This window comes from Homo sapiens, chromosome 17 (assembly GCF_000001405.40).
Source record: "Homo sapiens chromosome 17, GRCh38.p14 Primary Assembly".
Taxonomy (NCBI): Eukaryota; Metazoa; Chordata; class Mammalia; order Primates; family Hominidae; genus Homo; species Homo sapiens.
Window position 1 is genome coordinate 70,076,238 of NC_000017.11, and position 12,359 is coordinate 70,088,596.

General features: G+C 37.9%; 1 protein-coding gene across 18 annotated transcripts in view; it reads left to right on the forward strand.

Annotated features, from left to right (window-relative positions):
• KCNJ16 (potassium inwardly rectifying channel subfamily J member 16) overlaps positions 1–12,359 on the forward strand; it is a 60,384-nt gene that overhangs the window by 1,013 nt on the left and 47,012 nt on the right. The gene's annotated exons all lie outside the window — the stretch shown is intronic.

A 12,359-nucleotide genomic window follows, 5' to 3' on the forward strand; every position in this document is an offset into this window, starting at 1 on the left:
AAGAGCCAGATCCTGAAGAAGAAAAAAATGTATGAATGCACCTTTGTTACTTTAGTATGGGAAATGTAGACTAGCCACTCTTTATGTCAGATTTTAACCAATAAAGGAACATGAAGTACCCAAACCACAGCTGTTTTGCAGAATACATTTAAGGAATTCCTGAAATTCAGCCAAAAAGAATTTAAAAGTGAACAAGGTCCAGAGTTCAATTCAAATCAAAAGAGAGAGAAAGAGAAAGAGAGCCTGAGTAACTTAGAGATGTAATCCTGCTTGTTTATTTTTAGAACACGATAATTGTGATAAATCTAAGATTATTAGTCTCATATACAACAAGACTGACAACCTTTGAAACTGCAAGAAAAGACTGCTTTGGGAGAGGAATTCAATATTCTATTTTAATGCATTTTTCTCAACAAGAATTTCAGCATGAGAGAGAACAAGAGTCTTCAAGGATATTGAAAAATATATGTTTCTTCTATTATATAGATTAGTGGTGAGTACAAGCTAAGACCTGGATATAAATTAATTGAAAATTAGAAATGGAAAAAAAGTATAGTTTGAGGCAAAATATATAAAGGGCATTGAAAGTAAATATTTGGCACCGAAATAATACAGGTATTTTCTTTGTTAAATTAGTAAAACCTACCACTTGTCCTCATACAAGAACTTGAGTTCCAGCATAAGAAGATCATTGGGAGCCATCTTCAAAGCTACCTCCCACCATTTTCCATTTATAAATGGAACTGTCAAAGAAGTCTTCACTAAGGGGGTGATATTTAGCCAAAGACCTGGAGGTGGCAAGGAAGTGAGCAACGTAGAATCCTTGGAGAAGAGCAGTTCAGGCAGATGGAACAGCCCTAAGGCTGAGGTGTGCCTGGCGAGTTAACAAAACAGCAAAGAGGCCAGTGTGGCTGAAGCAAAATTGCAGGAGTGGGAGTAGCAGGGAATACATGAGGTCCTGTAGATGTGCCATAATATTTACCAAGACAGATACGATTCTGCAAGCTACAAGTGTCAGAGAAGGTTTTTGAGATGTTAGAAAAGACCATGGGAAGCGTAGATTTAGATAAGTGGAGAGACAGTGAGGAGTATTGCGGATGACAGGCTGATGATACAAGTGAACAAAATATAGATGTGAGAATGAGCAGAATTAGCATAAGCATGAGAGCAAATGAAGTTAGGCTCCTCCAGTGTACCCAATGGAGTAAATAAAAAGGTTTCTGAACATCAAGGCTGTGCTGAGGCTAACAATATGCTCACCAACATGAAACTTGTAAGGGAAACACAAATCTCAACACAGAAGCCAGGCCCTCTGTAGCTCAAACCAGATGTTGTCAAGAGACAGGAAATTAAGAAATCTAAGTAAAAGTAGATTTCATGGACAGTAAACAGAATTAGAAGTCTTTCTCCAAATGCCTCTTTCCTGGTTAGGCTGTGTTTTTTTTTTTTGTTTGTTTGTTTTTTCTTGCATTTTAGTGAGTCCATCCATCAGCTTTGGCATCTCCAAATGGCCCCTTTGCTGGAAACCATGGTAATAAGGGCTCATCTTCTGAGATGTCTATGGGAAATGAAAGTAAACTCAAATAGCTGGTTCTTGGTTAAATTTTTCAGGCCCAAGGGCCCAGATTCAGAAAAAAAAAAAAGATAGTTTATCTGAAATGCATTGCATGAAGAATGCTTTCCTATACAAAGACAGTTACATTTTGCTTTCTTAGCTGGTTAGCTTCTGCAGACTGGGAGGAGAACTATTTTTATCATCATGCTTTAGGGCCTATGGACCCTAGGCTTTGTAGTTATTTCACTCTGTTAAACACAAGGGGTGGATGACTTTATTTTTTTGTATAGCTGCTTTTAAATGAAAAAGATAGGATCAGATTTTTTTCCTCACCTTGTTCCAGAAAGTTCTACTCTGAAATCAAGGATCTGGATGCAAAACATAACATTCTAATAGAGGCTTCTCACTATTAAATGCAACTTTTCCCAGTTGCCATGGCTCCACATTCTCCCCCTCCTAAAACTAGATCTGAAACTGCTGACAGGTGTATAAGAAAATTTTAAAAAGTCAATCATCTGGGGAAAAAACAGTCCCAAATTAGATTTATCCAACAACTCCGCATAAAAAAAAGGTGATTTTTACCTTAACATGTTCCAAAAAGATCACCTCCATTCCTAATTTTATTTTCCTTATATGAAAATAGCTTTAGAGACTCCAAATGGTTACATGGCTTCAGATTGTATTTTGTAAGATTTGCTCTCCTTTTAACTGAGAAACAAATATTCAGTTATCTTTTTTATTTTAAGAAAAATGTGTGTTCTAGCAAACATGACCAAAAACACTCTTGTTTTGGTAAATTTTAATTTTTTGTTGTATCCCATTTTAAATCAGAGGCATGTTCTCATGCAATCAATAAACATTTATTAAGTACCACTGTACCGGACAGTCTGGGGACAAAGATAACAAAGATCTGGTCCCTGCCCCCAGCCTGGCAGAAAAAGGCATGTCTGTAAATAATTAAGAGCCATGCAATGGTCCAGCACCATCATAACATAACGTACAATTAGCACACCAACCAATCACACTTTTTTCCAGGAAGGCAAGAGGGATGATAGCCAAGTTTGAGGCAGGTTAATATTGTCCTGCGTGTGCTTGTGGAATTCAGAACTTTTAGACACTGAAATATCATTTTCACTATGAACTCTATTACACGATTTTCCACTGTCAGAAACTCACTCTTAAGAGAACTCAGACAGTTCTCTTAAAATGGTCTTTTTTTCTACTACCGTTTGGTTATTAGTCAAGGATCTCTAGAGAAGCAGAAGAAACAGGATACAGGAGAGCAAGAGGGAGAAAAACACAGAGAGATCTTAAGGAATTGGCTCAAGCGATTATGGTGGCTGGCAAGTATGAAATCTGTAGGGCGGGCTGGTAGAAATTCTAGTAAGAGTTGACATTGCAGTATTGAGTTCAAATCTGCAGAGTATGCCAGAATAGGAAACTTGGATGGCATTTGTATGTTACATTTTTGAAGCAGAACTCCTTTCCCAGGAAATCTTGGCTTTTGCTCTTAAGGGTTGCAACTGATTAGATAAGGCCCACCTACATTATGGAGGATAATAATCTGCTTTTCTCAAAGTCTACAGATGAGAAATGTTCCTCACATCTAATATGTATCTTCCTAGCAATATCCAGACAGGTGTTTGATCAAACAACTGGGTACCATAGCCTAGCCAAGTTGACATATAAAATTAAACATCACAATAACAGAATCCAACTTCATCCTGATTGTCTTTTGCCATCCAGTTATTAGACATTATATGTTTCAAGCTTCCATTTCTCTAAAAGAAATTAAGAATCATACTTTAGTAATCATATAAATATTAAATTTCATAAAATGGATCTGCCTAAAAATACCATCATTTGCATATAGAAGCATCCATTAATTTAGTACAGCATTTTTATTTTATTATTTATTTTTATGTTTTTAGATGGAGTCTCACTCTATTGCCTAGGCTAGAGGGCAGTGGCATGATCTCGGCCCACTGCAACCTCCGCCTCCCAGGTTCAAGCAATTCTCTTGCCTCCGCTTCCCAAGTAGCTGGGATTACAGGCACCCACCACCATGCCTGGCTATTTTTTGTATTTTTAGTAGAGATGGGGTTTCACCATGTTGGCCAGGCTGGTCTCGAACTCCTAGCCTCAAGTAATCCACCCACTTCGGCCTCCCAAAGTGCTGGGATTACAGGCGTGAGCAACCACATCTGGCAGTACAGCATTGTTAATGCTATAGCTTTTTTGTAATGCAACTTGGTTAAAGAGAAAAAGATTTTTTTAAATTGAGGTAAAGAGTAAGTTATTTCTGAGACACTGACAGTGACAGTCCAACCTTCTAATGACATTGCTTCCTCTTCCATTAAAATCACTATCCATATCATATATTTTGGCTGTTACATAATTTCCTCCATGTTTTCATGTAGTTCATATGTATGAGTCCTACCTCTGAATAACTGTGTTTACAGTAGTAGCAACATACCAAGATCTCTGAGAAACCATGTGATTAACATCGTATACCTTTTAGAAGTATTAATTTCACTCAACAATTTGGACGGGGAGTAAAAGAACTGAGTAATTTTATGGATAAACACTTTAAAATTATTTTCATAATGCAGGTATGACTATATATCCAACAATAAATATATTTTTATATTTAAGACTAAAAGAAAAACTATCATAAGACCGTGGAATATTTTGAGCTCGGGCCCAGTCATTTGTCTTATAGCCTCAAATACCCCTGGACTTGGGGTAGTAATAGGGGTAATGTACTCATTTATCTTCTGCTTTGTAAGGTTTATTTTTTTTAATGGAAAATTTTGAGAAGTACTATTAAAGGATGAATTTTGTGAGGGAAAATTCCTGGGTTTGGTTACTACTTGATTAGTTAGTTGGCTCTGCCCCAGAAAAATATCTACTAACCCACAAACTTGGCCAGTCTTTTCACAACTATGTGCTCTCCTCATCTCATGTGAGGCTGAGCCAAACAATGGGTAATTCAGGACATTCTGTCTCTACTTCGGGAAAATAATCTAAAGTAAGCTCACAAAACAAGGTGCCTGGCCTAATGGCTGGACCTCAAAATTGTTCGCTAGATCTCCGATTCAAGATTTTCCTATACTGAAGACAGCACAGGAGGTCTGCTAAACTAGGGCTTAATAGCTCTCACCAGCCAGCAAGTGCAAGACACACTTAGCCATATCTGATGAATGAATTCGGTTCTTAGCTGACCTGTTAGTGTTCTTGTAATATGTTATTGAGTTCTATTTGTTTATTTTATTGAGAAAGTAAAATCCTTCCCAGACTTGCAACCAAAATTTGGGAAGTTTCCAGAATATTAGAGATGATGAGTTATGCACCAGGATTGTCATATCAAGAATGCTCTTTATTTTGTAACTTGCCTTTCATTTGGATCAGAATTGAGCCAATTTGTGGGTGGTTCGATCTCACGCCCAAGGAGAACGTGGAGTGGCTAATTTGAACAAATTATCTAAGACATGATTTACACACATTTAAATTTAGGCTTTATGGGAATAGGAGGTGGTTTCATTTCCTCATGACTAAAATTTTATTTAACTGTATTAGATAACAGTATTGAGCTGAAGATAAGATTAGGCCATTTGCACTTAGAAGTTAAAAGCTAAAGAAACATTCAGAGAGAAAAAACTGAACAAAGCAAATCACAGACAGACCCAAACAAAACCAAACAGAAGCAAAATGCACTTTCCACATGCAGGAATCAAGTACAATAGAAATCAGGGCAAAGTTTTTATGCATTATATTTCTATAGGCAGAATATTGTTCGTGTGTCTCTGCACTATTGTGTCAGCTCATCCCTGTTTTTGCTGTTGCAAACAGTGGGCACTGTTTCTCGAGTTGTGTATGGAATTTGGTTGTGCTCTGTTAGGGCAGCTTGTGCAACAGAAGCACAGGGGTATAGAGCGAGCAGAGTTAAGAGGTGAGAAGGAGAAGTCCAAAATTGTGTCCTTGAGATGTTACTTGTTAAGAGTCACCATGCTCTGTGTGTGTGTGTGTGTGTGTGTGTGTGTAAATAAGTGTCTGTATTAATTATTCACAAAGTAATACCATGATAATTGCTATGCCATTAATACAACATTGTGGACCTGGTTATTTTAGACATGAAAATAATAGCATTCAGTGACCATGCTGCCACTCAGTAAACAGAAGGTTGTTGTCTTTTACACTTTGGCTTCATGAATTGAACAAATGTTCTTTCCTTTCTTCTTGGTTGATGTGCAGTGACTCGTTCTGTTGGTCACTAGGCATGTAAAGATTAGTCCATCAGCTCCCTGACATTGGGAAAGTCAAAGTCTAGCAAAGGAGGACACTGACAGAAAAAACAACTGTGCCTGGGAGATCAAGGGAAGCTTTACTGTGGAAGTAATACAGTATTCAGGTTTTAGCTAGAAGGAAGAAAAGTTGTCTGCCTAGTTATAAAGAGCCTAACAGATTTGGGGAAATGTGAGAAGTTCAGTGTTCAGAGTGTAGGGTTTTCGGTGTGAAGATAAAAGCAGAGTGGCAGGGGGTAAAATGGAATACAGGAGTATGACCTAGAGAGTAACTTAGATGGGAGAATGTTTTTAGTGTCCATTTCTAGGCCCCCAAACCACTTGAAACTATAATTCTAATACTGAACTCCTTCCCAGTTACCTGGGACTGATTCTAGAGAGAGGAGAATTTAATTGAACATGTGGAGAGCAGAGAAGAGATAGGAGAAGCTAATTAGTGTTTTCCTACTTATCAAAGACCCTTGGTTCAGAGGTAAGGTAGGTATTTCCAAGAAATGGAACTACAACTAACACCAAAAACATGACAATTGCTTGTCGAGGCTCTCCCCTCTTCTGAAGTTGCCCATTCCCTGTGCTTTATACATTGGTATTAACTTGCTGCCACTATCTTTATGGAGTAGGTGGCCAGAACGTCTTTTCACACCTGGATAGAGTGCTTAAGATGGTAGTAGAAATTCACCTACAAAGATTCAGTTCTTCTACATACTAGGAGATAAGTAAGGTAGACTAAAAAAGGCATTTGTGGATCAGCAGAAAGAACACTGGGCCCAAAGTCAGGAGCTGCTGTCTTCCTATTATTATACATTTATTATTATTTTAAAGTAAGTAATTCTCCACCATCAGTTTCTTCATCTACAAAATAAAAATATTTCCCTCATTCATTTACACGTTCCCTCAACAAACAGTTAATAGGTTTGAACACTCAAGGTTTGATTAGAGAAGCAGAACTACTTGGACAACATATTTATCTATTATTGAGATGGAATCTTGCTCTATTGTCCAGGCTAGAGTGCAGTGGCACGATCTCAGCTCACTGCAACCTCCACCTCCCAGGTTCAAGCAATTCTCTTGCTTCAGCTTCTCAAGTAGCTGGGATTATATATATTATATATATATAATATGTAAAGAGATATATATTATAATATATGTAGCAGGTGAGGAGAAGTCCAAAACTGTGTGTATATATAATACATATCTATATGATATATATGTATTAGATATATACTATATAGACAGTTATGATCAACCTGTATTGTGTGTATGTATGTATATACATACATATACACATATGGATGTGTATAGTCAAGTGCTGCACAATGACAATTTGTTCAACGATGGGGTGCATATATGATGGTGGTCTCAAAAGATTTTAAAGCCATATTTTTACTGTACATTTTCTATGTTTAGACAACACAAATACTTACCATTGTGTTACAATCATGTACAGCATTCAGTACAGTCACATGCTGTACAGGCTTGTAGCTTAGGAGTAATAGGCTATACCATACAGCCTAGGTGTGTAGTAGATTATACCATCTAGGTTTGCGTATATACACTCTATGATGTTAAAACAACATCAAAATTGCCTAATGATGCATTTGACAGAATATATCCTCATTGTTAAGTGACACATGACTGTATATATATCATAAAAATTTGACTTTACACAGTTGGTCACATATTCTATGTGAAGCTGACATCCCTGTATCTGGCACTGGAGTCTAAAGTTGTAGGGCAGGCAATTGGAAGGACATAGTGGTGTGAAGTGGAGGAAGATAGAATATTGAAACCAGTGAGGATTAGCTAGAAGCCACCAAGATGAAATGAAGCCCATGTTGGTGTCCCATGGCTTTCGAGCCTCCAACTTCATAACAGGGGTGGCCAGCAGCACAGTACCCTCCCTCTGTAACACAGGAGCCATAGAAACTGAAAGAGGAGACCAGCAGGATGTGTAGGCACAGTGGGCTCACCTGCCAATCCATAATGTGTGCCAGTATATCAGTGACAACCTGCGTGGGTCGCCTGAGCACCTTGTGCCCTACAGTGACTTGTTGTGGAAAGAATATGGCTACTGGTTCACTTCCACCTTACATAAGTCATGCAAGATGACTCCCATGGCCTGAAACTATGAAGGGAATGGAATTCTGAGACACGTAGTCTCAGTTAGTTAAATTGGTACAATCCAAATATACCACATCTGACACGTCCATTCAGAACAAAAAACAAGTGATAGAGACATTGTCCCTGACATTGAAGAGTCCATTAAGTGGTAGGAGAGAGTCATAATCCACCTGATGCGTGTTATGATAGAACGGCTTGCTTCTTTAACACACATAAAATGAGATTAATACACACAAACGAGCTTTGGAAGTGTTAAACTTTTAACAATTTTTCAGAGTCTCATGTTGACTATCTGATGTTTGATTACCTCTATCTTTAAAAGCAAAACACAAAGGAATCCATTCATGGTAGACATTTTAATAAGTTTGAATTCTGTAAGATTCCCTGGTCTTTGCTTCATTTCCTCTGGTAGAGCGGTGGTGCTGAATGGATAGCAACCACGTCCCCTACACTAACCCCAGTCCTTTTGCTCATGGAATTATGCTGATTTTGCTAATCCACCAACCACTTGCCAGAGGTGTTTGCCCCGCTTTCATATAGCTTATCTCTCCTTTAAGCTGAGGAAAATGACAGATACGTTAAGAAACACTAGTAAAATTCCTTGATCACTAATAATAATAATAATAAAATTAAACCCTCAAATGTTTATACCAAACCTCTATTGTGAAAACTACTTGTTTATCGGCACCATCTTCTATAGATTTTTGTTCTATTTCTTTCTTAGATTGTGTTTGGCCAACGCTTTCATCTTAATCTTCTGCCTCAGTTTATCTTCCTTCAAGGCTACTTAGTTGGGTAGATTTTGTGTATTTCAAAGACTCCATGTTTTCTCTGTATCATGAAGATACTGTCACAATGACAGGTGAGCTCATCATCTTGTTAAAGGGTTTATTTCCACATCTCAATTGTTCTGTCCTCAAAGTCACAAAAAGAAACTATTTCTGAATCTTTCGTGGACCATATACCACTACATGGAGACACACAATTTTCACCTGCCAATAACAAAGGAACATGTGTCAGACATTACATTTTCCATTTATTTTTAAATTTCACAACACAGGGTTCTAAACCTGTGCCATGCACCATTCTAAATGCTTTAAAAATATTGATTCGGTCTTCATAACAGACTTTATTTTTATGATAAGGAAACAGAGGCACTGAAAGGTCGGGATGTTCTGATGTCACACAGCCAGTAAATGACATAGCTAGATTTGAACTATGTAGTCATGTAGTAAAGGTATGGGCTTTTAACCAGTAGTGTATGTCTTCTAAAGAGCCTCAATTCCCCATAAATTCATATCTGTGTTATTACTGGAGATGCTAAGTTATATTAACACGTTCTTTGGATTACATACCCACTAGTCAAGACACCTTTGTACATAACTCCAAGTGAAATCCTGAGAAATGCTCAGGCATTGAAATAATAAAGGAGAATGAAACCCTACCACCTCAATTCTGCTCTATGCCTCTGATGATTGATTTTATTGAAGTAGTCTATTTCATACATCAACCGCTAGCTTATTCTTTCTCTATCAAAGCATTTAAGGAATAAAAAAAGCAAACCACAGAGAATATCTTCACTTTATTCAATGGGCAGAACACTAGATGTTCCAGCATAAGAATTTGTTATTTCCCTCAAAATCAATAAATACAAACAGAAAAATCAATAAAGATTTTACTCCATTGAGCAAGGATAATACCAAATCTAACGAAAGTAATGTTTTATTGATGGGGGAAAATGTAACCATTCTTTATGGTCCCAACGACAGATGGAAGTTTGCTGCCTTTTATACCAAATATTCAACTGTGACACCATTTATTTGATGGGGAAAATGTCAATAAAATTAGAGCCCAATAGGCCTCGACAGGTTTCTTTAGTTTAAAAAGTCTTTACTTAATTAATTCAAGATAATATAAATATTATACAAATATTGATTTGTTAGAAATACTGCTCTTGATATGGAAATACTTACAATGAGAATTTTTGTGAGAAAGTGAAGCAATCTTAACTTTTATTTTTTATTACAATTAGTTAATGAAGAGTAACAATGATCTGAAGTCATCCACTAAAATATTTTGTTTGCCATTTATTGCATAGTAAATTCTGTATTTCCTTGGTTCAGAACACATATTACTAATGAAGTCAAACGTGTATTTTCAGAGAGACTATCAAACAAAAGCCAGAGGTGAGCACAAGAAAAGTGTATTTTTAAAGGTAAAATATGTTCAGTGTTCTGTGAATAAAAGAAAACTGCACTGCTTAAGACAAAAAGCTGTTAAGATTGTTTACAGATCAAGAAATTATTTTACAAAAATGGTTATTTATTCATCATTTTTTTCAACATCCATGGAAGAATGCCTCTTGAAGAAATAGGATGTTTACTATTTAAGTTGGGAAAAAAATTGGCAGTTTTCCTATCCAAGAAACGATTAGTACATTCATGTTGAGGATGACTGGGCTTCTGAAGGTCCTTATAAACTTCATTTTAGTGTTTGGCATTTCCTTTTACGTAATTGCAGCTTTTAAACTAAAGATCAGATCATACACTGGCATATTTTTGTTATTCTTGTTTTGTGCATTGTTGGTACAATTTCTGATTTGATTCCTGATGAAAATAACAAACAACATTTGTGGTAGTACTTTGGAAGTTAAGCCTTTTACATCAATTGTCACATTTTATTATTTATTTATTTATTTCAAGACAGAGTCTCACTCTGTCACCCAGGCTGGAGTGCAATGGTGCAATCTCAGCTCACTGCAAGCTCCACCTCCCGGGTTCAAGATATTCTCCTGCCTCAGCCCCCCGAGTAGCTGGGATTACAGGCACCTGCCACCACACCTAGCTACTTTTTTTTTTTTTTGTATTTTTAGTAGAGACAGGGTTTCTCCATGTTGGTCAGGCTGGTTTTGAACTCCCAACCTCAGGTGATCCGCCTGCTTCGGCCTCCCAAAGAGCTGGGATTATAGACATTATCTTTAAAACAACTCTGTGAGAGTAGTGAGAGGAAGTGGTAGTAGAATTCTTATTATGGCAATAGGAATACTAAGACTCAGGTAAATTAAGTGATGTTAGTGTAAGACAGATAGGGAAACTCAAATTCCAGGGTTTCAATTCTGGCCTCTGTTTTTCTTTCATTTACCATCCAACCACTACAGTGTCCTCTTTCCTCTTTTACTTCTGTCATAGAAAAATCTTAAGGAGGCCAGGCGCGGTAGCTCACACCTATAATCCCAGCACTTTGGGAGGCCAAGGTGGGCGGATCATTTGAGGTCAAGAATTCGAGATCAGCCTGGCCAACATGGTGAAACCCGTTCTCTACTAAAAATACAAAAATAAAATTAGCCGGTTGTGGTGGCAGGCGCCTGTAATTCCAGCTATTCGGGAGGTTGAGACAGGAGAATCGCTTGAACCCGGGAGGCAGAGGTTGTGGTGGGCCGAGATTGCACCACTGCACTCCAGCCTGGATGACAGACTGAGACTCTGTCTCAAAATAAATAAATAAATAAATAATAAAATGTGACGATGTAAAAGGCTTAAGTTCCAAAGTGCTACCACAAATGTTGTTTGTTATTTTCATGAGGAATCAAATCAGAAAAGTACCAACAATGAATAAAACAAGAATAAGAAAAATATGCCAGTGTATGATCTGATCTTTAGTTTAGAAGTTGCAATTACGTAAAAGGAAATGTCAAACGCTAGAACAGGTGAATCGCTTGAACCTGGGAGGTGGAGTTTGCAGTGAAGCCGAGATAGCGCCACGCCACTGCACTGCAGCCTGGGCGACAGAGCAAGACTCTGTCTCAAAAAAAAAAAAAAAAAAAAGTAAAAGAAAAAGAAAAAAGTTTGAAAACCAGTAGTCTAGGCCAAGGCACCTCACCACCACAAAACTGTTTTCTTTTCAAATTGGATCAACGATAGCTGTGATACAGAGCTTTTAGGGCAGCGGTTTCCAACCCTTTTGGCACCAGATACTGGTTTTGTAGAAGACGATTTTTTTCACGGATGGAGGAGAGAGGGGATATGAAACTGTTCCATCTCAGATCATCAGGCATTAGTTAGATTCTCATAAGGAGCGCACAACCTAGATCCCTCGGATGTGCAGTTCACAATAGGATTCGTGCTTCTATGAGACTCTAATGCTGCCGCTGATCCAGCAGGCGGAGGAGCTCAGATGGTAATGCTGGATGTCTGCTGTTGCTGTTCACCGCCTGCTGTGCGGCCCGGTTCCTAACAGGCCATGGACTGGTCCCGGTCCCTGGCCTGGGGGTTGAGGACCCCTGTCTTAGGGATATTGGGGCAATGAAATTGAAACAACCAACTCATAACAGGCACTTTAGAAATGGTAACATTCCCAGGGGATTAAAGCTTGTCACCAGG